The sequence below is a fragment of the Homo sapiens genome, chromosome 20 (genome assembly GCF_000001405.40).
Source record: "Homo sapiens chromosome 20, GRCh38.p14 Primary Assembly".
NCBI lineage: Eukaryota > Metazoa > Chordata > Mammalia > Primates > Hominidae > Homo > Homo sapiens.
In genome coordinates, this window is record NC_000020.11 from 52,317,365 (window position 1) to 52,344,694 (window position 27,330).

A 27,330-nucleotide genomic window follows, 5' to 3' on the forward strand; every position below is an offset into this window, starting at 1 on the left:
TAGATTTCTGTAGTATGGCTACTCCAAATTAATTGGAATATTACATTTCTTCACTTTTTTTTCTTGGGACTTACAACTCATTGAGGAAATAGTACTCAGTTACTGCTAATCAGAAGATCCAGTGTGCAGAGCTGCTATTATAATTAATTTTAAAAGTGAGAATATAAATAATTATTTTAGAAATATATTTTAGTAGATACAAACTTTTGAGAATATTGGGGTCACTTAAAAATGGGTCATTGGGGTAAAAAGATTGGGAAACCAAGGTGTAAATGTAAATGATATAACATTTTCAGTAATCCAATCTGACCGTTAGGATTTAAAATCCGTGTTCTTTTATTTATTTGTCCCAGACTGTAATTAGTGGGCATGAGTTGTCTTTATTTTTATGCAAAAAGAATTCATCAAAATACTCTTCCATCTTAAAATTTTTTTAATATTAATCACTTACTGATTCTTTGAACAAATCACTATGTGACTGCATTCATTCATTCAGCCCCAATTTATTACATGGCTACTGTGTATCAGCCACTGTTCTAGGTACTGGGAATTAAAAAACAGAAAACCAAAAGAGAAATAGTTCTAACTCAGGGATAGGCAACAATAAAATGAAAAATCAAATAGGTAGTATGTGAGATGGCAATGCATGCTGTGAAGAAAATAGAAAATAAAGCAGGAAAGGGGAGAGAGAGTTCTGGGCAGGATACCACTTCAAACTGGGTGGCCAAGGGTGCCTTAGTGATCAGGGGACTTCTGAAAAGAGATTTAAAGAAGGTGACAGAAGGGCCATGCAAATACCTGGGGAAAGGGTCTTCCAGGCACAGGAAGTGGCAGGTGCAAAGTTCCTGAAGCAGCATGTGCCTGCCATATTCAAGAATTAGCTGGGAAACCAGTGTGGCTAGAGTGGGGTGAGAGAGAAGATCAGCCAAAGGCAATGAGGTCAGACAAACTGTGGGTGAGAAGGGGAACGTCCCTGGGGCCCCGTGGGGCAGGGTTTCCCAACCTTGACACTGTTGACTTTTGGGGCCAGACCATTCTTTGTTGGAGGGGCTTTGTCGTGCGTTGAAAGATGTTTAACATCATTACGGCTATACCTGCTAGATGTGAGTAGCACCGCTCCTCCTGCCCCCAAGTGATGACAACCAAAATGTCTCCAGACAATGCCAAATGTCCTCTGGGGAGTACAGTCACAGCCAGTTGAGAACCATGGCTGTAGGAGCCTCATGAGGACTTGGTTTTTAGCCTGAGTGCAGTGAGAGACCTGAGAGAGTTTTGAGTTCAGGAGCCACACTCCAGCATGGGTTGGTCTGCATGGGGTCAGTAAGGGATCTAAGTGCAGAAGCCAAGGGCCAGCAAGGAGGTGTCTGTGGAATCCTGGCAGGAGGAAACACTGAAGCCTCTGTTTTTGAGGAGCCAGGAGAAGGGAAAAGGACTGAACAGCGAGGGCTTGTTCAGGGTGATGTTAAAAAAATACTTAGGGGTCATGTGGCAGGGGCCCTGTGCAGTCAGAAAGGCTGCTGGCAGGATAAAGGACAGAGGCGTGTCCCTGGCATTGCTGTAGGAACATCATCGGGGCAGCTGTACTGAGGCAGTCGTGACTGCTCGTATTCTGAGCTACTTTACTTTTTTTTTTTTTTATGCCACAGTCCGAGCCTGATGTAGCAAAGGAAGCAGCCTCTTGTTTGTATCAGGTGATAGAGAGCCAACTTTAATACGGATAAGACGAAGTTCCTAGGCCAATGCAGGTAGCAGGCATATAGGACAAAAACTGCACCCTAGGAAACATCTACGTGGAGAGGCAGAGCAACTTTCTCATGGGCACACAGGCAGAGTATTTCTGACCTCAGAAAACCCACACTATGTGTCCCAGCTCATGATGTTTGGTGGATAAAGGCAGGGGCTAGCTTCCCATTCATTCAGTCAGCCATTCAACAAACCTTCACTGAGGGCCTCTCAGGAAGAAGGGTCTGCCTAGGCTTGGAGGTTAATCACACAGGAACTTTGTCTTTAAGAAGACTGTGGATGTATGGGCTGACCCAGGAGTGTCCACGTGTCAAGCACATCTTCCTGCTATTTATTATTAGTACTCCCTTTAAGCCATGTGTCTGGTCATGCCACATCTGCACAAAACCCTCTTGGCTCCTCTTCTCACTTCGAGCAAATACCCAGGTCCACACTATACTTTATAAGGCCCAACCCAGAGGGTGGCAACTTTTTCCTGTAAAGGGCCAGAGAGTAACTATGTTCTGCTTTGGAGGCCATGAAGTCTGTCTTGCAACTACTCATCTCTGCCGTTATAATTTGAAAGCGGCCATGGATAATATATAAATAGATAAGCATGGTCGTGGTCCAATTAAACTTTATTTATTGATGGTGAAATTTAACTTTCACATATTTTTGTGTAATAAAATACTACTCTTTTTGGAAGATTGAAAAAAAAATTAAAAAATGTAAACGTCATGCTTAGCTCCTGGGCCACACAAAAACAGGCAGCAGGATGCATTTGCCCTCTCTGCCCTCATATAGAACATGACAAAAGTGGGGGCCAGTCGCAGTGGCTCACGCCTGTAATCCCAGCACTTTGGGAGGCCAAGGCAGGTGGATCACTTGAGTTTAGGAGTTCGAGACCAGCCTACCAACATGGTGAAACCCTGTCTCTACTAAAAATACAAAAATTAGCTGGGCATTTTGGTGCATGCCTGTAATCCCAGCTACTCGGGAGGCCGAGGCAGGAGAATCACTTGAACCCCGAAGGTGGAGGTTGTAGTGAGATGGGATCGTACCACTGCACTCCAGCCTGGGCGACAGAGCAAGACTCTGTCAAAAAAAAAAAAACCATCCTCTCCAAAAATCCCCATAAACTCCCACTTTTCTGTCTTTAAGATGAAGGACACCATGCTAGGCATTTAGGACTTGGTTTGGTTGACACTATGGGAATTAATCTGCCAATCTCTGAACTTCTTGACCACAACATCTCTGTTGCTACACCTCAGCCCTGTTGTTTGAAAGCAGCCATGAACAAGGCATAAACGAATGGGTGTGGCTCTGTTCCAATAAAACTTTACTTATAAAACCAGGCAGATGTGGCCCACCGGTCCTAGTTTGCTGACTACTGCCATATAAGATCAAAATATGCTCATTCCCCCTTCTAGTGTCATCTTCCACCTTGTATTAGTCCATTCTTGCATTGCTATAAAGAAATACTGAAGGCCGGGTGTGGTGGCTCATGCCTGTAATCCCAGCACTTTGGAAGGCCAAGGCGGGTGGGTTACCTGAGGTCAGGAGTTTGAGACCAGCCTGGCCAACATGGTGAAACTCGGTCTCTACTAAAAATACACAGAACAATTAGCTGTGCATGGTGGTGTGCACCTGTAATCCCAGCTACTCAGGAGGCTGAGGCAGCAGAGTTGCTTGAACCTGGGAGGTTGCAATGAGCTAAGATTGCACCACTGCACTCCATCCTGGGTGACAGAATGAGACTCCATCTCAAAAAAAAAATATTAACAAAATATTATATATTTTATGTACTAAGCCTTTCAAATCTGATGTATATTCTGTACTTGCAGTGTTTCTAGATTTTTGGACTAGTCACCTGTCAGATCCTCACTGGCCATGGTGACTACCATATTGGACAGCACAGGACTATAGAGTTTGAGCTTTTGAAGGACAAGGACAGGTTGATGTCCTGGTGACTGACTCATAAGCATTTCTTCAGTGGTGGCTAACTACCTATCTTTGGCCAACCTTCCTTGTGTTTCAGTCTGCCAAAGTTTTGGGATAAACCATCACTGTCAAAATTTATTGGTACTCAAGGGAAAATCAAGCTTTTTGTGGCATCACACAACATCATAAATTAAAACATATGCTTTAAAAAATTATGATGTTACATCATGCTTTGAGGTAATGTAATGTGACAGATTGTAATTTTTATTTTTGTAAGATTTCCTCAGTGTAAAGCAGGAAGTGGATTTGAGAAGGTTTGCAGTACCCAGGACCTCTGAATCAGGACCACATTTCCAGGCTGCCACAGTGTTGGTGCTTGGTACATCAGGCAGCGGTCTCTGCTGGGTCCTTAGTCTTCTTTTCTGTGACCCTCCTGTGGTTCATTTGGATTCTATGTTTATCCTAAGAATCTCCCAGGGATCAAGAGGGTTCTTTGCAACCTAATTCACTCTACTGGGCTATATGATTTTGGAACTAGAGTTTCCATTGGTTTATGTAGAATGACTGGCAAATTTTGTCTCAAATGCAAATTAGATTGGTTTTTAATGGTTGTCTGGGGTCTTAATGCTAAGAAAACTTCTGAGGATGCCTCTGCATTCATGTAAGAGATGACGTTAGTCAACCAGCAGTGTTTGCCATGGGCTTGCAAAGGGGTAGAGGCCGTTTATACAATATGTATTTGACCATCCTGACCTAAGTGTCTGTTTCTTGCTTCTTGGATGGGCACGTAATGGGAGTTTCTTTAATTGGGCTAGGAACAGTGTCAAAGGAAGGGCAGGGGTCCTATACATGGGTTGAACTTAGTGGCCAGTTTACCCAAGGCAGTTTGGGTGAGTGAAAGGCCCCAGCTGTGGTCAGTGCCTAGCAGAGCTTGTTGTATGGGAAGCAATGCCTAGTGCTAGGTTCAAATGTTGAGGCCAGGATAAACGTTAAGTCTGGAAGCCAGCAGGAATAAGGGAAGACTAGAATAAGTTATATAAAATAACAGGAGTAAGCAATTCTGACTGGAGGAAAGCTGGCAAAGCAATGGGTTTCATCTCATGGTAATCCAAATTGCTTAGTAGTGTCTGCCAAGAGCTCTGTGTTGGAGGGCTTCTGGATTGTGCCAGGGACTGGGGAGGCAGGAAGTCATGATTGATTGGTAATGTCTGCCATGAGTGTGGGAGCTACGCAGGACAGTACACATGCTACATATTTGCAATCCCTGATTTAGAGGCATGGTTATGCTGGAGTTCACACAGAGAGAGAGAGAGAGGCATGGTTGATTGGTAATGTCTGCCATGGATTTTGGAGTTATGCAGGATGGCACACATGCTACACATTTGCAATCCCTGATTTAGAATCATGGTTACAGTGATGGCTTAAGAAAATTCCCTGGTTGTCTTTGACATACGCATATTTTGTTTTCTCACCTAATATTTATTTTTTCACTTAATAATTGACCATTAGTTGTCTCGATCTGTGTTGGGGTTTAGTCATATTCATTGAACTATAATAAAATGGGTCTCCAAAGAACACAAGTTAGACAGTGGTAAGTGCCATTGAGTAAGTGGAGGAACTGGGGGGTTAGCAATGGGTTCATGAAGGATGTGGCATTTGAATGGGGTATTGGAGACTGGAAGGATCTTGAACATGTGGGGACGAGGGACATAACATCAGTGTGGAGGGAACAGCACAGGCTAAGGAGTGGTAGCTGGAAAGCATGAGTGGTTTGGAGGCATAGCAAGGAGGTGGATTTTGCAGGAGCAAAATGTACTAGAAAGCCTAGGGAGAGAGAAGACTGAGATTGAATGATACCCACTGGGGTATCCTCCCGTGGGCTGCAACTGACAAAATAAAGAACTTGGACTTAACCACCTGACCATATGGAGCTTAGTTGCTTCTATAGTGCAGCTTGAAAAGGCACCAGATAGGCGCCTCGACCACCTGACATCCCATCATAGCTGAAGTCCTCAGAGCCTAAAAAAAACTGTGATTTTCAAGAGCTCCCAAATGGGTGACAAGGTAGAAATAAGAATGATAGAATGCTCCTCACCCTTCCCACATTTCTTGCCTGCTAGAAAGACTCTGGCTTGGCCTGTGGCTATCTCTTCCCTTTTTCTGCCATTCAAAGAGGATCTGTGTCCCTCAGATCTTTGCAGTGGTGAATAAAGAGAAGAAAAGAGGAGGCAGGTAAGAAGAGGTGTTTGGGTAGATTGAGCATTTCAGGACGCTTTGAGGTAAGACACTGACCTATGTGAGGCAGTGGTGGAGAGAGGAAAAAAAACAGGTCCAAATAAAGAATTGGAGAAATTCTGAAATCACTTATTTGCTTGTGTGAAACAGTCCCTCCCACTCTATTTTTTGTTTTTGTATATGATACAGGTTCTTACTCTGTCGCCTAGGCTGAAGTGCAGTGGCACAATCACAGCTTCCTGCAGCCTTGACCTCTGGGCTCAGGTGAGCCTCCCACCTCAGCATACCAAGTAGCTGGGGACTACAGGCTCATGCCACCATGCCTACCTGAGTTTTTTTTTTTTTTTTTTTTTTTTTTTGTAGAAACGGGATTTTGCCATGTTGCCCAGACTGATCTCAAACTCCTGGGCTCAAGTGATCTACCCACCTCAGCCTCCCAAACTGCTAGGATTATAGGCTTGAGCCACCGTGCCTGGCCCAACATGTTCCTTTAATTGTGATACAGATAGGGACTTTACAGGACTGGTCCTGGGTCGCAGCTTTGTAAACATTCCTCGTGGAAGTTGCCTTGGGTCATGCTTTAGTTTCTCATCAACCCATAGGAAGACTCGTGTAGGAGTTGGGTTCTAAAGTCATCACTGAGGGGAACATTCTCATGGAATCAAACAACGCCCTCACCAAGTCCCCAAACCATAACATAAAAATGCAACAGCTCTTAGTAAGTCCACGTGAAGCAGGTTTTCCTCCAGTGTTAGTGTGGTTCATAGCTTCTTTGGTGGAACTCCAGATGAAAGAGTTGGCTTGCATTTAGGGGCTGTGCTGTATGAAAAATTTGCATCTTTTAACACAAAATCTATGCTCTGCAAGGTGAGATGCTCACCCTGTGGGAGGGATGTGAAGACGGAGGAGTACGGAGGGAAGCACAGATTTATGCCTCACCCTTCGCACCTGTTCTGGGGCACGTGCTTCACAGAGGAGAACTGGGAGCAAAATTACCAGCATGCCATGTTTTTTTCCCTTTCTGCCACTCTCTCAGCCTATCATTGATTTATGCATGTCACTCCATGGTGTGGCGGTATCATGAACACACAGGTATGGCTTCATGGGACTGTGACTTGGGATGGGGTCAGGAAGTCCTCACTGCAGGCTGCCCACAGCCTATCTGGTTAGCAAAGAGAAGAGCACACGGATTGATATTGGTGGTTAGGGGAGAGAACTTACCTGGAGTTTGCATATATTCTGTACTCCTGGTACTGGTTCCTAGATTCTCAATAAATACAGCCGTGGGATGCAGACAGCACGACAGATGCTGAGGCACTACACGTGTACCCTCTCTCTGGAAGCCAGCTAATAATTTCTTATTAGCAAGAACAAGTAAACAAGATTGCTGTTCTACCAGAAGCCTATTGAATATGATAAAGGACACTCTCCTACCTCCTCCCCCACGCTCAGGTTGAAGTTGGAGACCAAATCGTGTACCTCGCTCTCCTGGCACAGGTATGTGACATTCAGGAAACTGCAAAACCTCTGCATGACCACGGAGAAAGAGGGACTGATCTGGCTCTCAGAACCTAGGGATGAATGGGTGAAATGTGCTCTTCATTGGCAAAGCCATTGGGATGACCCATTGTTTTCCTGCCAAATTTGATGTGACTGGTTGGGAGGTAACTGGGAAGTTTTTCCTGTATTCTACCTCTTTCTATCTATTCTCTCATGTTACTCCAGCCTTTTTTTTTAACCTTTTGAGTTCCCTTCTCTCTTACTTTTTCCTCTTGAGCTGCCTTTGTGTGGCTGCCAAGAGGGAGACTTGAGTTTTCCATGCAAGAGGAGGGCGACCTGCTGCCTTAAATGGGGGTGTCTGTGCTGAGTTTCTTGACAGAGGAGCCCATTAGAGGCATATGACAGGTATCTCCCCTCCCACCATCACATCAGGCTATGCCACGAGGCCCACATGATCGGCAGGAGGTACCCATAGAAGCTGTTTTTTCTGGGGAGTAGGGAGGGCAGGTGGGAGAACTGGAAAAAATGAGCCCACTTGACCACATCTTGATGGCATGGAGAGACAGGAGAAAACTTTTTGTTCTTGGAAATCTTGACTCCCTTAGGTTTCAAAAGTTTGCATCCTGGTTAGGCTGAAACATCTAGACTTTTCCTAAAAACTCTGTTAATGTACTTTTTTTTTTGTATCCTTGGATTTAGGAAATTGTGTCCAATGAGGGATATTAAAACTGTTAAACCACAAGCACCAGCCAGTCAGGAGAGAAACCCAGGCTGCCAGAACACATGCTGGAAATGAACCACTGGCATCGCCTTGCCAGAGTGTAGCAGTTGAATGTGGCCTTAAATGCACTCATGCTGCTAGTGCATTTGGTATGCTTTTAATCACATAGTTGTCTTAGATAGGGACTAGTCGAGTCCATCACATGTACTTTTAATGTCTATCAATTAAGCATATATAAAGCAAAGGAGAACAAGAGAAACAATTTAATAAAGCTAGTGAATACACTCCCCAGTCTATTTAACTCTGTGCTCCAGAGGGAATGTAGGATGGGAAATGAGAATTTGCTGTTTCTTCAGTTGGTCTTTGTTCCTGCATTTCACCCAAAGACTGAGCAGTTCCCCCTATCTGCTGCGGTTCTAACACTGAAAGAGGTATATTGGTCTTCTAACATGGTCCTTAAATGTAAGTAAGCTATAATGTGAACTTGAAAAGCAACCATCTGTTTCAATATTGTAGGAAAAATGGTCTGTGATGGGTTTACTGGGAGATGGGTTGTGAGTAGTTGACATGACACTCTAAAAAGATAATTTTGGCCATTTGTAAATTGCACTTCATGTGCCGCCTTTAGAGCTCAACTCCTGTGTAAGTTGCCACTTCACTATGTTTGCATCTTGTACCTGGCCAACCAGTGCACCTTCAATTTAGAAAGTATCATGAAGCCGCCTTCTAGGAAGATGAAAGTCAATGTAAAACCATGCAAAAGGATCCCCTTCTTAAAGTCACCATTGATTTTAGAGATTTCTAGGCCCAATAAGCCCCACATTTTATCATTTCATCTCTTTACACTATAGTAAGCCCAGATAATCTTATATTTCAAAGGGTTTCTAGCATTGTGTCCATAGAGTAGAAATAATATAGATGTGTGTTTGACATCTGAATCATCCATTTCACATCTTCCAAATACACCTCTTAGTCCCTTAACATCTGGGTTTTCCACTTGCCAAAAAAAAAAAAAAATCCAAAATTATGTAGGAGTTTGAATTAGAGTCTCATCCAGATAAATTGTCTTACAGACCTGGAAGGAGAAGAATGATTTTGTTAAAGTTGCAGAAGAAGGGCTATAGGTAAATAAGCATTAATCTTTTATTTGATTTTAAAACTAGTATCCCATCTGAATTTTAGATCCTAAAGTAGACTCCAAACAGAATGTATTAAAAAACAAAGTCATATGTGTGCTCTGTTTGCTGACCAATATTGTGCCTTTCAGAGTTAAAAATTATTTATTATTTACCTACATGATAAGAAATTGGATAAAATTCCTTCTTTTGTCTCCCAAATGTATTTCATGACAAAAATATAGTAGTAATTGCAAAGAGACAAGAATAAATTTAGTTTCTCAATACTAAGTGGTGTACTATAACCAGTATTCAATAAGGCATGTTGATTTGATTTAAATTAAAAAGAGAAATGAATAATTAGCATTTCTTGTATTGGTGACATATGTGAAGACCAAAATAAAATTTTTCCATGAAGTTGGATAAAAGTAAAACTTTCAAAGACAGTTGTATGTATGTATTTTAAAGTAATGGGACCAGCAATGTTGCAAATACGATACATGGACTACACATCTATAATACATAAATTGTTACCTAATCCCTTTAATAATAACTAACACTTAAACATTACGTGCTGCACATGTAGCGACAGTTTTTAGCACAGGCCTACCTCATTTTATGGTACTTGGCTTTATTGCACTTTGTAGATATCACATTTTTTACAAATGAAGGTTTGTGGCAATGCTGCATCATGCAGGTCTATTGGCATTTTTTCTAATAACATTTGTTCATATCTCTGTGTCATATTTTGGCAATTCTTGGAATAATTCAAGCTTTTTCTTTATTTGTTACTGTGATCTGTGATCAGTGATCTTTGATGTTACAACTATAATTGTTTTGGTGCATCACAAGCTGTACCCATATAAGATGGCAAATGTAATGGATAAGTGTTGTGTGTGTTCTGACTGTTCCACTCGCCAGCCTTTCTCCCACCTCTTTCCCTTTCCTTGGGCCTCCCTATTCCCAGAGACACAACAGTATTGAAATTAAGCCAGTTAATAACCCTACAATGGCCTCTTAAATGTTTAAGTGAAAGAAAGAGTCACAGGTTTCTCACTAAATCAAAAGCTAGACATGATGACGCTTAGTGAGGGAGGCATGTCGATAGCCGAGACAGGCGGAAAGCCATGCCTCTTGTGCCAAACAGTTAGCCAAGTTGTGAATGCAAAGGAAAACTTCTTGAAGAAAATCAAAAGTATGACTCCAGTGAACACACAAATGATAAGAAGCTAGAGAGCCTCACCGCTGATATAGAGAAAGTTTTAGTGGTCTAGATAGAAGATCAAACCAACCACAACATTCCCTTAAGTAAAGCCTAATCTGCCTAATCCAGAGCAAGGCTCAACTCTCTTCAATTCCATGAAAGCTGAGAGAAGTGAGGAAAGGGCAGAAGAAAAGTTGGAAGCTAGTAGAGGTTGGTTCATGAAGTTTAAAGAAAGAAGCCATCTCCATAACATAAAAATGCAAGGTGAAGCAGCAGGTGCTGATGAAGCTGCAGCAACTTATCCAGATCTAGCTAAAATCATTGATGAAGGAGGCTACACTAAATAATGGATATTTAATGTAGACAAAACAGTGTTAAGGTGGAAGAAGATGCCATTTAGGACTTTTGTAGCTAGAGACAAGTCAATGCCTTGCTTCAAAGCTTCTGAAGGCAGGCTGACTCTCTTGTTAGCAGCTAATGCAGTTGGTTACTTAAATTTGAAGCCAGTCCTCCTTTACCATTGTGAAAATTGTAAGGCCCTTAAGAATGATGTAAGCCTACTCTGCCTGTGCTCTAGAAATGTAGCGGTAAAGCCTGGGTGACAGCATCTCTGTTTACCGGATGGTTTACTGATTATTTTAAGCCCACTGTTGGGAACTACTGCTCAGAAAAAAAAAGATTCCTTTCAAAATGTTACTGCTTATTGACAATGCAACTGGTCATCCAAGACTTCTGATGGAGATGTACAAGGAGATGAATGCTGTTTTCATGCCAGCTGACCGAACAGCCGTTCTGTAGCCCCTGGGTAAAGGAGTAATTTTGACATTTAAGTCTTATTATTTCAGAAGTACATTTTATAAGGCTATAGCTCTATAGATAGTCATTCCTTTGATGGATTGAGGCAAAGTACATAGAAAACCTTCTGGAAAGCATTCACCATTCTAGATGCCATGAAGAACATTCATGATTTATGGGAGGAGGTCAAAATATCAACAGTAACAGGAGTTAGGAAGACGTTGATTCCAACCCTTAGGGATGACTTAGAGGAGTGTAAGACTTCAGTGGAGGAAATTACGTCAGACATGGTGGAAGTGGCAAACCAAACAGAATTAGTGGAGCCTGAAGATGTGACTGAATTGCTGCAATCTCATGAGAAAACTTGAACAGATAGGACTTGCTCCTTATGGCGGAGCAAAGAAAGTGGTTTCTTGAGATGGAATCTATTCCTGGTGAAGATGCCATGAACATTGATGAAATGACAAAAAAGGTTTTAAATATTACATAAACTTAGTGAGAAAGCAGCAGGAGGGTTTGAGAGGATTGATTCCAATAATGAAAGAAATTCTACTGTGGGTAAAATACTGTCAGATAGCATTGCATGCTATAGAGAAATCTTTCATGAAAGGAAGAGTCAGTTGATGAGGCACACTTCATTGTTGTCTTATTTTAAGAATAGTAAAGTAAAAATGCCGCAGCCACCCCAGCCTTCAGCAACTATCACCCTAATCAGTCAACAGCCATCAATATCAAGGCAAGACCCTCCATCAGCAAAAAGATTATGACTCACTGAAGGCTCAGATGATCACTAGCGTTTTTTAGGATTGAAGTATTTTAAAATTAAAGTATGTACATTCCTTTTTCAGACCTAATGCTATTGCACACTCAGACTACAGTATAGTGTAAACATAAATTTTATATATGCACTGGAAAACCAAACAATTAATGTGATTTGCATTATGGCAATATGCACCTTATCGCAATGGTCTGAAATGAAACCTGCTATATATTTGAGGTATGCCTGTATTTAATAATGTTTGTTCAAAAGAGGACAGCAAGCAACAGCCTTGATTTTATTCTCTGAAAAATCAATCCTTCCTTTTTTCCTTTGTTTGTTCATTCAATGGTTTTTTCCTTCCTTTTCTTCCTCTATTTCTGGAAAATGGAAGCCTTGATAGGATTTGTCTAGCATGGAATGCATGCAGTGGCTAACTGGAGTTTTCTGCCCTGGTTCTACCCAAAGTTCTCACAGAATCTTAAATCTCCTTGCCTTTGCCCATGCCATTTCCTTTCTTTGGTATATGTTTCTGTACTCTCTCTCTTTCTGAAAAATCCTACTTGAACTTCAAAATACAGGTTAAGCAACTAGCATTGGGTGACCTTGTCTCTTTTAGGCACCTACCTTGGCATTCTCATTGCCCTCTTAAAATATCTTTGTGGTTATGCATTAGTAATTTTTACTCTACCAGTGTCTCTCCCTACCTAATCTTCTTCTTCTTAAGGGTGGGCAATTTGTCTTTCATCTTGTTACTCCCAGCACTGAGCAGGATCTAGAACAAGGTGAATCTCAGCTAGATGTTGTAGTCAGTGTAATAAATTTTCAAACACTTCTGTTTTTCAGTGAGGGGAAGGTGTCCAAGGTGGGCACATCAGCACATGTGGGGAGATTGGGCTGGGCATGTTTACCAACAGTGCAGTGCTTTATTCCATTGCTTTGGTTTATTTTCCACAATGATACTTTATTTCTTCTTGAAGATCAAATAACATTTTTTAGGGCATAGGATTTTTTTTTTTTTGTCAAAGGGAAAGGTCCCATATTTTAAGAAAATATTTGGAAATATTCCTTTAATCATAATAACAGCAGACATTTGTTGACTACTTACAGCAACCTAGACAACCTCACCAGAACAGACTCCTGCTATGGAATACCAATAGTTCCCTATTTAAATATGGCCTGGATGATTTTGATTGGCTGAAGATGGGTCACATGCCTGCATCCTAGTTGCAAGGGTAACTTTTGATGTGAGCAGCTGGATTTTTGTCTCCATAGTTATAAATGGCCATGACCTCCCATCAAGACTCATAACCAGGAATTTACCTGAGCATATGAAAGAAGGTTCATATTTAGGGCAGGCAAGAAAGCATGGCAATGTCCATTAAGTCTTACGAGCTGCAGTAGGTGTTCCCAATGTCCTGCCTCTATCCTGAGCCATCACCAATTCATTGCATGCTGGCCCAAATTCAACCTCCAAGGTTTGCATTGTTTTGCCAAATGACTTTCTCTTGCAGCCAGAGCCTGCTTTATCACCTGCAAAGCAAGCCAGAAATACTGGGAAATTAATATCCCTGGGATTAGCCATTAATCAATGACCAATGGGAGTCTTTGGCATATAAATAACTCTTCTCCTTGATCCCTTGGGTGGGATAACTCTGAGGCATGTTTTGCACTGAATGCCAGAGCTTCTGAGAAGAATTGATCTCCAAGTACCCAAAATGGAAACAGCATTAATAACAAACCTTATATTGGCTGCCTTCCATCCTGGGTCTCACTTCTCCATTCCCCTGGTTGTATTTTTGGGGATTACGTACAAAATGAACTACTTGCTCTCTAATCCTTGTCTCAAAGTATACTTCAGGGGGATCCCAAACTAAGACCAATGTAGGAAGATGTTATTAAGCTTTATTTTTTGCGATTTGTATCAGGAAGCAAAACCAAACCAAATCTCACCTAAAGAGGTTTTCAAATATAAACCCATAATATTGAATGTGTTATTTCAAATCATTTCCTCTATGATTTAAACTTAGTATCCTAAGAGATTTGCCCCTCTAATGAGTATTACTGAAATGGTATATCGGTAGCCACCTGACGCTCAAGAGATACTTGTTTGTTTACTTATATGCTAGGGTAGGAAGAATATTACCCTTATCCATGCATGACGTAAAACTCAGGAAAAAGGTTATGTCTGGAGCTGTTGATATGGTCTGGAAATATTTATTTGGAAGCCATCCATGTAGAAGTGAGAGTTGAAGCCTTGGGGGATGAAACGATTGCCTGGGGTAAAGCAATAGGAAAAGAAGAGGATAGGTAAGAATTGACAATCAACTCTGTAGCAATGCTTGGGTAATGAGGAGAAAAGAGAAATCAGTTAGGTAATTAGATGGAAAAGGGATGGAAAAGACAGACAATATGGGTTGCATGGGGTCATTGAAGTCAGAGGAGGGAAAGGTTTTGAAGAAGTAGTGAATGGTAGCATCGAATGTTAGTGGCTCTACTGGTTTGGGCTTAGGGAGGTTTAGAGTTAAAACAAAGTGAAGGAATTGGGAGTAAGAAACTCAGTGGTTGTGAGAGAGTAGGTGCAGTAGAGTGATAGGGATGAAAGACAACTGGAAATGGTAGATGAGTGGGTGAAGACATGATAGAGCAAATAGAGCCTGAAATCCCAAACTCGTAAACCCCCCAAATCTCTGAACTAATATGAGGCTATTTACATTTTTTAATCCACCCCCTTTCATGCAGGTATTTACATGCTCTTGAAAGTACTAATGTGATTTGTTTTAGGGTGGTGTCTTGGGCATCCTGGGGTATTACATAATATGCAGTAGATGCTCACGTATAGATCCGGATAGGGTAGCTTATGTTGCAGTAACAAACAAGCCCCAAATAGCAGGGGCTTATGCAATGTTACATGCCCATTGTGGGTCACTTGGGACTTTGCTTCCTGACATTTTTATTAAGGACCCAGGCTGGTGGAGCCTCCATTACCTGGGATATTGCCAATATTATGCCAGAGGGAAGTGAGAATGTGATGCAAACACATGCTGGCTCTCAGAGCTTCTTGGAAGTGGCACATGTCACTATTGCTAACCCTTCACATGGCAAGCCAAGTCACATGACCATTGGAGCTCAATAGAATGAAGACGTATATTCCTCCTGCAGGGAGGGCCAACCTAGGGAGGGCAGTGAATATTTTATATAACAGATGCAGTCTACCATAACTTCAGATCTTTTTAAAACCTGAATTCAAAAGATACCTGGTTCTTAGAATTTCAGATAAGGAGCTATGGGCTTATTGTAATCTGTTCTTTCAAAAAATCTGGCTGTGTAAAGAAAGAGCAGCTTGACCAGAAGCTGACATGAAGAAAGGATGTTCTCATAAGGAAGATTTGAATATTGAATAAGAATCACTTGGTTGAAAATGACATAAACCCAATTTAAACTACTTTAAGTAAAAATCAGATTTTAAGTTTTTGCTGATTGTACTGTTTTCCTATGATGCTGTAACAAAATACCATAAACTTTGTGGTTTAAAGCCATGGAAATTTATTTGCTCACAGTTTTGGAGGTGGGATATCTGAAATTAGTATCACTGGGCCAAAATCAAGGTGTTGGCTGGGCTGCGCTCCCTCAGGAGGCTCTGGGGGAAATTTAATTCCTCGCCTCTTCCAGCTTCTGGTGGTTGGCAGCATTTCTTGGCTTGTGGCCACTCACTCCAATCTCTGCCTTCTCCTTTTCTATATGCATTGCTTTCTCCTTCTCTGTATGTGTCAAATTTCTCTCTGTCTCTCCATCTCAGCCAAGATACTTAATCATATCCACAAAGTTCCTTTGTACCATATAAGGTAATATTTACAGGTTTCAGTGATTGGGATGTGCATATCTTTTGGAGGGCCATTATTCAGACTATCACTCTCAGATAGGTTCTTCTCATGAGATGGTAAAGACTGTTACCAGAAACTCTAGACAAGGAATAAGAAAACTATGATTTTAAGGCCAAATGCAGGCTGCCTGTTCCTGAGAATAAAGTTTTACTGGAGCACAGCCATGCCCATTTGCTACATATTGTCTATGGCTACTTTCATGAATGGAGTAGTTGCAATACAGAGCTTACAACCCAGAAAGACTCAAATATTTTCACTTATGCCATTTACAGAAAAAGCTTGCTTGATGTCTGCTCTAGACTGATGTTTTACCAGCTTAGCAACTCCAGTGGAAAATTCCAAAATTTACATATATTGGCTTAGCTTGGACCACATGCTCATCCTTGAACCAATCACGATGTCCACGGGAATGCAAAGCTCTGGTTGGACCAACCAGAATCCTGTGCCCACCTCTGTAACCTGGACCTGGGGTAAACCTCACTTAAAACACATAGATCACAGAAGAGGGAGGCTTTTTTTTCCAAAAGAGATCTTGGGAGAAAATACCAAAATAAGGGAGAAGGGATGCTGAGCGATGAATGTTTTGAGAACAAAAAAAGAGTAGTTCACTAAGAGTATGCTCGTCAGCAGAGTGGAAGGCTTCACTGGGGGAAAGAAGATGCAGGAGCAAGAAGGAGAGTGCAGAGAATCAGGGACAGCATTGGTGTCAAGTTAGATCTCCACAAATTCCTCAAAACCAAGCCTGAGGGACATCTGAGGGACAGGTGGAAGATTCTAGAAAAAATGAGGTGAAAGAAATGACCAGAATGTTAGGAGGAGAAGTTGTAGAGGTTGGAGCCACAGAGGCCAGAGCAGGGAAGAGATAAGAGAGGAACTATCGACAGAGTTAAATGCCCCTGAGAGGACCAGAGACGAATGAACAGGACAGAAATGCGCGGCGGGGAGCTGAACAGGACCCTGGCTTAACGCAGTGGGTTGCAGGTCTAGAGCAGAAGCAGTTGTGCTTCCTGAATCCAGTTCTTATACTTTTCTCACACTCTGAATAATCTGGTCCTAGGTGTAAGTTTTTGACAGTCACGGTTCTCTAAAACAGGAATTGCTAAGTAATAAAACTCTTACATTAAGAGCTGTGAACTTACAGGAAATTATTGAAATGTGCTTAACTCTTGATCCTCACCTCCAAGAAATTTTAAAATGCTTAAACCATTTTATCATAACTTTGCTTTCTTCTCAACAAAGTATTTTGAGATGATTTTTTATGGGAGATGCCACATAAAAATCAACTGGTTTGAAATGGCAGAGGTTTTAAAAGATTTTAATAGATTGATAAGGTGGGTCACCTCTTTACATCTTTGGCATGAAGCCCAGAGAAATAAAGTAAAAAAGTAAGAAAGAGACAAAAGTTGGGATAGTGCAGAGGGCATTTGAGCTGAGAAAGGAGCCACACTAATATTCAATGAGAATAGCGACCTTTCAACTTTCCAAGAGTGATCTTTGTCCTCATGGCCAAAATATACTCCAGTGGAAAACACTGGGTTATGAGAACTAAAAGTAGTGTGTGTGCGCGTGTGTGCCTGTGTGTGAGCTGATGTAGAAATAAAAAACACATCATGAGCATATATGATTGTCTCCAATTAATATTCCAGGAAACACAGGAAAGGTGGTAAAAATAAGAAACTTTGCCCTTTGGGCAGTTAGTACCAGTCTAGGAAACTGCTGGTGTCAATATATTGATGCTTCCCTTTGCACATCTGGTGAAATCTTAGGATGCCAGTGAGTGTGTCTCTTCCCAGGATGAACTCTCTCTCTCTTTTTTTAAATATTGACTTTAAAAATACAATATTAATTTGGGCTCAGTGCAGAGATCAGGACAATATGGGAGCAGCACAATGCACAAAACATGCCTGATCTATGAGAATCTATACCAGGTTTCCAAAGCATGCCTTGGCATCAGAGCCAGTTGTGCTATTTGCTGAAAATACAGTCTTGATCTCACCATAGACTGAGTGTGTCAGGGTCTGGGAATCCGTTTGTATCAGTCCATTTTCATGTTGCTGATAAAGACATACTTGAAACTGTGCAATTTACAAAAGAAAGAAGTTTAATGGACTTACAGTTCCACATGGCTGGAGTGGCCTCTCAATCATGGCGGAAGGCAAGGAGGAGTAAGTCACGTCTTACATGGATGGTGACAGGCAAACAGAGAGAGAGAGCTTGTGCAGGGGAACTCCTTTTTTTTAAAACCATCAGATCTCATGAGACTTATTCACTATCAGGAGAACAGCATGGGAAAGACTTGCCCCCATGATTCAATTACCTCCCACTGGGTCCCTCCCACAACATGTGGGAATTCAAGATGAGATTTGGGTGGGGACACAGCCAAACCGTATCACTGTTCTTTTTTTTTTCCTTCAAATTTCAAAGTTCTTTTACACATTTACATCTAAATTTTATTTATTTTTGAATAGATGACATGTTCATAAGTATAAACTGAAAAGATTTAAATGAATATATAGGGAAATATAAGACTTGGTCTCACATCTGATTTTTAGGATACTTGTTCTCCTCTCCGGGGGAACCCTGTTACCAGACCCTTCTGGAGACATTTATTGCTTGTGCAAGCATATGGTACTCTTTTATATATGTGTGTGTGTGTGTGTGTATATATATATCTAACTATAATTCATATACATGTATACACATATATATCTACATGTGTATATGTTTAAAACAGAAACAGTAGCAAACCATTTATATGGTTTTGCTTTTTAAAAACTTAATCTTGGAATAATTGCACATATTCACATTCAGAGCTATATTGTTCTTAGCTGTTGACTTGATAGTTCATCACTGATCAGACTCCTACTGATGGATATTTAGGTTGTCTTCAACATGTGCCTCTGACAGACAGTCTCATAATCAATATCCCTGTTATTTAGATATATAAGGAGACTGTAACACATTATATAAGTTGGCCCTTTTAGTTTCAAGCCATAGAAAATGAACTCTGGCTTATTTAAACAGAGAAGGAATTAATTAGAGGATCTACAAAAGGGCCAGGGAATCAGAGAAACCAGGAAAAGGGTCAAAACTGATCTGTAGAAGGAACTGGTGTCATGAAGACACTGCTGTCATCATTGCTGGGTCCTAATGCTGCTGCCTGGGCCAGGGATACCGGCCTCACTGGAAACAGCAACTCCAGCTACCATCACTGACACCACCATTTGTACAAACTGGATGTAGTTCTGGCCCCACTGCCGGTACCTTTGCCACAGTAGGTTGTGCACAAGCTCTGCTTTTTTGTGTTGTAAACTCTCCAAGATTCGCTTGATTGTTGGAGCCTATTGAAGTGGCTCCGTTGTCTGGGGTATATACTCTGGGGTTCGTGGTCATGTGCCAGGAAAATTTAGGACATTGACACACACAAGGAGTTCAGGAGCGGAGTTTTAATATGTAGAAGAGAAGAGAAAGAGGAACAGCTTCCTCTATAGACAAAGGGATCTCCCAGCAGAAAGGACCGGCTGGTGGCAAATGTGCCGAATTTTATAGTCCAGTTTGGGGAGGTGGTGTCTGATTTACATAGAGCTCATAGATTGGTTCCATCAGGTATGAGGTTTACATAGCACGTGGGGAAGGCTGGTCGTTCCACCCTATCTTATTATGCAAATGGGCTTTCCAGTTGATCCACACCATCTTGTCCGCTCCTTACAGTACATGTGGCTGGCAGAGAAGGGAAGATGGAGCCACCATCTTGAAAATGTCTAGTCCTTGGTTCCTGCCGGCATTCACCCGTGCAAGCTCCCAGCTTTCTTGTCTGTGTCTGCAGCTCAACTTTATGGGCTGCTCTTTGTTAGAAGTCATTATTTGTGGGGCCACGTGCAGCGGCTCATGCCTGTAATCCCAGCACTTTGGGAGGTCAAGGCGAGTGGATCATCTGAGGTCGGGAGTTTGAGACCAGCCTGACCGACATGGTGAAACCCCGTCTCTACTAAAAATACAAAAAAATTAGCCGGGTGGTGGTGGACGCCTGTAATCCCAGCTACTCAGCAGGCTGAGGTAGGAGAATCGCTTGAACCCAGGAGGCAGAGGCTTCAGTGAGCCAAGATCGTGCCATTGCACTCCAGCCTGGGTGACGAGCAAAATTCCATCTCAAAAAAAAAAAGAAAAAAGAAAAAAAGAAAATGATTTAGGGCTGCTTTTCATTGAAAAAAGAAAAGCCTTATGGAGGACTCTCATACCCTTACTAACTGCTTAAGTAATTCTTTCTTAACTCCTATATCATATGTTATGTGTTCTAACCACAAGGGAGTCCAGGAAAGTGAGAATAAAACCTCTACAGTGACAGTTTTTCTCTGACCCCACTGCATTACTTAAAGGGGTCAGGTCCTTAACAGGGGGCTGTGTTGGTTGGTTGGTTGGGTTTCTCCCAAAAGCAGATCATGTGTCAAGGCTTTGGGTATAGGGAGCGTGTTGGAAGATGATCCCAGAAAGCACTGAATGGAGGAGTGGGCAAAATGAGACACAAAAGGAAGGAAAGTCAATGAAAGATGCATTAGTGAGTGGCTTTCCGTTGTGGGCATCCGGGGCTCCATTCCACTGAGGAGCCTCTGAAGCATCATGTAGGACTCACTTCAGAACTGACCCACTGGCTTTTTAGTGGGAAAGCTAGAATATGTATCCTCCAACTCTCATTCTTCATTGGTTGAGGTTTGTTCATAGAGGCCTTACATCCCCGGCCGAGCAAGCTCGGCACCAGAGGAGCCCCTGGTTAGAGAAAGAGTCATGAAAGCTGGAGGTGGGAAGCGTCAGTGTGGGTGGAGAATGTCCACGTTGATTCCTGGAAAATGTGGAGGTGGGCCACGAGAATCAGGGGTGGGCATCACCAGTGTCTGCTACAAGGGGTTCATATACTGGGTAACCGAAAATGAGAAGCTGAGAGGATCTCAAAAGAAGACAGAAAATAAATAAGTGAATAAAAAATAGAGTAAACACAAGTATGGCTTAGTGATTGATTGCTGAACAAATGCCTTCTGGATATATCAGCTCTCTAATGAAGAATGCAAAAAAGTACTGATGGTAGGATCAATATTGTTAGAATCTCCTAATTTGTTTACTATTGATAGATACCAGCTAATATGATGGCACTAGACACAATATTTGTTTTATATTTATCAGCTAGTGGGAATATATTTCTATATGCCAATTTTTTTGAGTACTGCTGATGAGTACACACGACATCGTGACTGCACCATTAGGTTTGATGAATCCATATAATTGCTGCACAAATATTTTGAATTTAATTGCATGTAATATAGTTAACACTCGGTTATGAGTGCCAATAAGGGAAGCAGTGACATGGATAATTCGAAACAGTGGAAAACCCAAAATCGTTTATGTAAAACTTCTTTGGCCCATTTTTGACTCAGGGCTACAGATTCACCTTTCTAATTATATTTTGTTTAGGCTAGTAATAAGAATTATTTTCATTTGGTAAAACATGGGCTGATGGAAGAAGAAAGTTGTTGAAATGTGTTCTGCTTGTTGGTAGAAGCTGGCATTAGAAGTTTTCAAGAGATAGCCACATTTAGGTAATTGAGAGTTTACTGGCTCAAATCTCATTAAAGTCAGATGATTTCTCCTCATTGTTCACGTATGTTAAGTACCAGGCACTGTATTAAGTTCTTTACACAGATGATCTCATTCTTTCCTTACAGCCGCCATAATTAGGGGATGTTTTGTAGTGGAAAAGAATGATACTTCTAGAATCAAGTTGTGTTTCTGCCAAGTTATTAGTTATGTGAAATTGGTCAAGTTACTAAATCAGATGAGGTTTTTCATCTGCCAATAATAGTAGTGGTAAGCCATAAAGTTGCTGACAGCCCACGGTGACTAAATAAGAGAATCTATCTAAAGCACAGTGACTGGCTTATGATGTCCAGTTCCATTACAGACTGGGTTAGTCTCAAAGTTGGTGTTCTGCTTATCCTCAGCCTGTGCTCTCAGTGAGCCCTCTGGAACAGTGCTCCTTAAGCTTTTAAATGCATCCAGATCACCTGGGGACCTTGTTGAAAAGAAACTCTGATTTAGTAAGTCTGGAACAGGACCTGAGATTCTGCATTCCTAATAAGCTCTGGGAGGGTGCTCATGGTACTGACTTGTGGAGCACTCATGGAGTGGTGAGGCACTGGATAATTTTGGTCAAACATTTTAATTTCACTTTAGTTTTCTTTGTATCCACAGCAGGTTCAGAGAAGAAGCAAGGCTTTCTGTCTGCTTTTCTTTGCCATGCAAGGTCCAACTCAGGTGCCAGACTTCCAGGAAATCTTCCTCATCTCTCAGATCCCTTGAATGTCCCTTTCCCACATTTCTAGTACAGAAGTTTTTCTAGTACTAGAAGTTTTCAGCAAATAGCCACATTTGGGTAGCTGAGAGTTTACTGGCTGAAATCTCATTAAAGTCTGTCAGGTACTTTCTCCTCGTTGTTCCTGTATATTCAGTACCAGGTACTATATTAAGTTCCTTACAAAGATGATCTCATTCCTTCCTCACAGCCACCATAATTAGATAGCTACCTGCTGGGAAGCATTACTGGGAAGTAGCTATGAATACAGACCCTGGGGTTATGCAGACTTGGGTTTCAATTGAATCTCTGCTGCTTACTAATTCTGTGACTTTGGACCTGTGGACCAATAACTTCTCTGAACTTCAGTTTCCTCATCTGTCAAATGGGCCTGATAATAAAAGCCACACAATGGGGTCATTGTAAGACTCAGACGGGTGCTTAGTGTAAAAAGTCTTAGCCCTATGGCTGGTACCCAGCAAGTGAACTGAGAGGTTCACAGGGTTGTAAGCAAAGTGAGGATGGGCACTTACATGTTTTGTCTGTCATTTTGCCAGTTCATGTAATCCAAATATGGCCGCTTCTCTCTTCTTTCCCAGAAACTCACTTTCCCAGTCTCCCTTTCAGCTAGGGACAGCCATGTGACCAGTTCTGGCCAGTGAGATGTGAGTCCCACTGTTCCAGGGACTTCTGGGAAAAAAATCTACGACCTGGGAAAGGAAAGAGCCAGTTGAGGAAAAGCCCTTTGTCCCTTCTTTGTTTATATCTCCAACTTCCCGATTTTTCCTGTGGCTGTGATGGCCAGGATGTGGCAGCCCTCTGGTTATAACAGTGTCACAAATCCTTCATTGAGGCTGCCTTGCAACCCAAGCTCTGCCTCTCTCCAATCCTCTCTTTCCCTCCCTTCATAGGTGCAGATGCTGAGAGCACTTTCTAGTCAAGTCCTGCATGTTCATTTCTGTCTCAAGTCAGCTTCTCTGAGAATCCAATTTATAAAAATATATTTGTGAATGTATAAGTAAAGTGACTTGGATTTTGTCTACGTACAAGGACTTCTATGCCTGCATAAAACAGGTAATATTTATCTTTCGTTGTTGCTGTTTCTGGTGTCTAAATCCCCTTCTAATAGTTGGAAGAAATTTTCCTGCCTCTTAATATAGAGTCAGATTCTTTTTTTTTTTTTTTTTTTTTTTTTAACTCTGTCGCCTAGGCTGGAGTGCAGTGGCGCGATCTCGGCTCACTGCAAGCTCCGCCTCCCAGGTTCACGCCATTCTCCTGCCTCAGCCTCCCCTAGTAGCTGGGACTACAGGCCCCCGGCACCACACCCGGCTAATTTTTTGTATTTTTAGTAGAGACAGGGTTTCTACTGACCTCGTGATCTGCCCGCCTCGGCCTCCTAAAGTGCTGGGATTACAGGCGTGAGCCACCGCGCCCACCTAGAGTCCCATTCTTTAATTCAAGACCGAGTAGCCAGTGCTGGTTAAGAAGTAGTGGGAGAGGTTGTGTTTTCGCGATGCTGCAGCTGCACTGAGGTCTTTGGGGGCAGCAGTGCCAACTGCAGCAGGGATCGTTTACAGGAGCAGCCTCTCTCCAGGGCCTGCAGGCTGCAGGGTTGGGGGTGCTGGCCGGACAAGCTGCAGCTTCCAGTGCTCTCCATGGGGGACACAGCACATCCCCACCAGACTAGGCTGTAATGTGCTTTTCCTGTGGTTAGGGATGGAAAGCCATCTTTTGTGCAGCTCTCTGTCCGTGCCTTGTTCTCTAGCCTTCCTAAATGATTCCGAGTGCAGTCAGTTTTTCTTATTTGCATCACAGAACCATGTCTGCGGCCTACTATGTAATACTATTTAATTTGTATCTGTGGACATTTAAAGTCTTGATATATTTTCTGTATCATTATTGATAACAATGGTAAGTATCATTTGAGGATTTATAGGTCACAGAATGCCTACGTATGCATTACTTGATTTATTCCTCATATAACACTGTAGGTTAATATATTTGTTTTAACCCTTATTTTGTAAGTTAGCATCTGAGAGGTGGAATAACCTGCCTAAGCTGACTCAGTAAATGGCAGAACTGGACTGGAACCTACGCTTTCTTTCTTTCTTTTTTTTCTTTTTTTGAGATGGAGTCTTGCTGTGTCACCCAGGCCCGAGTGAGTGGTGTGATCTCAGCTCACTGCACCCTCCGCCTCCCGGGTTCAAGCAGTTCTGCCTCAATCTCCTGGTAGCTGGGACTACAGGCGCATGCCACCACGCCCGGCTAATTTTTTGTATTTTTAGTAGAGATGGGGTTTCACCATATTGGCCAGGCTGATCTCGAACTGCTAACCTCGTGATCCGCCCGCCTTGGCCTCTCAAAGTGCTGGGATTCCAGGTGTGAACCTACACGCCCGGCCGGAACCTAAGCTTTCTATTTAATTTTTTAAACATTGAAATCTTTTGGAAGCAAATACTATGTTAACCAAAAATCTGAACATCTCACCTTATTGAATAATGGAGATGATTTAAGTAAAACTTTAAGTCACAAAATAAAAATATCTTTTTCTTAATTCAAACAATACAGAATAATAGAAGATGGAAAAGTAACCAGAAGAAACAAATGCTAACACTTTCTTTTGCATTTTTATAGAAATTTTTGAAATACACATACTTAAGCAGGTTGAAGTATAGTGTTTTTTAAATACAAATCAAGCGATATTATACATAATGTTCTTTAACTTGCTTTTTTATCTTGCATTCAGTGAAATATCTCAGACATCTTGTCAATATTGTTGTAAATAGCTTTGCTTAATTCTAACTGGCATTCATTATTTTGTGCTTATATTTTAATCTAAATGGTCAGTCTTCTATTGATGTATGTTGTCTTAAGTACTGGTTTCCTGGAACCATTGCCTGAGATGGGCATTTTTATAAACGTGATTTATCAAGGGAGTGGATGAAGCAGGAGAGGACAGAGGAAGAATCCTGGCAATCCTCTTGTCCTCTTGAGATGATGCTGTGGCTTGAGCTCTTAGCAGCCAACCCTCACTGCTATTTAAGGGGAGGAATGCCAATTCATTAAAGAGATCTTGGTGGGACACCATCAGCACCAGCTACATGTATTTAGATGGTTTCCAGTTTTCTATATTAATCATTTTGGGATGAACATTCTCATACTATTCATGTCTTTGTGTGCTGTGAAAAATTCTTAGATGTGATAATTCTAAACTGAAGGATGTGGTAGCAATGCCAGATACTCATACAATGTCCAGTGTTCTTTCCTCCTTACTGACACAACAACAATTTGTTGGCTGTGTCAACATGCCTAGTTTTAAAAATTATACTTCCCAGCCTTCTTTGATGTTAGAGACATAGTTTTGACCAATAAAAGTGAAGTAATTGGCTATAGCTTCCAGGAAGGCTCCAGGTGGGGTAGGAGGCAGTGGCAGTCACACTCATCTGGGACATATTCTTTATGCACTTCACCCTCAGCTTTTTCTTGCCCAGAACGGGGATGTGATACTGAAGGGGGCGCAGCCACCTTGTGATTGTGAGGTGACAGGTCCTCAGCTGTCTAAGCAAGAGACATTATGGAACATTCTATGAGCTGTTTAGCATGCTGGACTTCCTAATGACGGCTTCTATTTATGTGAGGGGGAAGATGCCTTATTAATTTCAGATTCTAATGGATATGGAGTATGTGCATTTAAATGTTGGTACACACAGTGGAGTAGGATTTCATGGGACATTAGGCTCCAAAGCAGGGTCTCTCAACCTCAGCATGGTTGATATTTGGGGCTGGAGAATTCTTGGTTTTGGTGGGCTTTCCTGTGCATTGTAGGGTGTTTAGAGAACTCCTGGTCTTTACCCACTAGATGCCATTATCACCACCCCTTCCCAGTTGTGACAAGCATGTCTCCAGACATGACTGAATGTCTCTTGGTTGAGAGCTACTGCTGCAAAATCAGCATGCAAGGCAACCATTACATGTAGTCAAAAATACACCAGAAGATCTATTAAAATCATTGATAAAATACAGGATTCATTCATTCCTTCAGAAATATTTCCTGAAGGGCAGCTATGTGTTATGTGCTGTTTTTGGTGCTAAAGTTGGAACAGTATGCAAGGCACACAGGAAATAAGATACCTGCTCCCCCTGGAGTTTATGTTCGACCAGGAGAAAACAAACTATATATATACACACACACACTATAAATACACACACACACACACACACACACACACACACACACACACACACAACTGATACAGAGTACGTTTTGTATTCCTGGGCATTTAAGATCTTCATGTATATTTTTATCATTACCAATAATAACAGTAAGTAATGATTTAGAGCAGGGATCTGTATGCTACATATAGCCCGTGGCGAAATCTGGCCCACCACTTGATAAAGTTTTATTGGCACACAGCCATGTCCGTTCATGAAGTATTGTCTATGGCTTCTTCCATGCTGCAGTGGTGACAGTGGCTGAATTTAGTTGTAAAAGAGACCCTACGACTCATAAGACCTAAAATATTTACTATCTGGCCCTTTGCAGAAGACATTTGCTGACCCCTGGCTTAGAGATTTATAGTTCATAGAATAAGTATACTTGCATTATCTTGTTTGTTCCTCGAAGTAATCCTCTGATATAGTTGTTTTCCCTCTTGTATTATGGGTCAGAGTCTGAGTGAGGGGATGACTTGCTCCAGTTCACTTAGTTAGCAGTTCCAGGTGGTCGCTGTGCTGCTGGGGAGACTGCAATTATAAATAGCGTTGTCATGGAAGAACTCATCAGGAAGGTGACAGAGATGTGAAGGCAGAATGAAGAGACCCATGTGGATAGCTGAGGGACCAGAATTCTTGGTAGAAGGAAGGTGCCTTGTGTGTTTGAGGAACAGTTAGAGGTCAGCTGATGGAGCATGAGGGAGATTAGCTGGAGATGCAGTCAGGGAGGAGTGGATGGGGCAGGTGGTGTAGGACTTTACTTTTTACTGAGTGTGCTGTGGGGCCCATGGGAGGCTTTGAGAAGAGGAGTGGCATGATCTGACTTATGGCTGAACAGAAAACACCAGTTCCCTGTAAAGAATGGACCAAAAGGGTCAAGAGTAGCATCAGGGAGCTCTGTTGG

The 27,330-nt window shown here is 41.9% G+C and overlaps 1 long non-coding RNA gene across 3 annotated transcripts in view; it reads left to right on the plus strand.

Moving 5' to 3' along the window:
- The window catches only part of LOC105372666 (uncharacterized), a 483,513-nt gene that overhangs the window by 106,722 nt on the left and 349,461 nt on the right, over positions 1-27,330 (plus strand). For all 3 annotated transcript variants that reach the window (XR_007067652.1, XR_001754670.2, XR_001754671.2), the window contains one exon: positions 23,126-23,288. This is a non-coding gene — a long non-coding RNA (uncharacterized LOC105372666). The remainder of the gene's footprint in view (positions 1-23,125; positions 23,289-27,330) is intronic.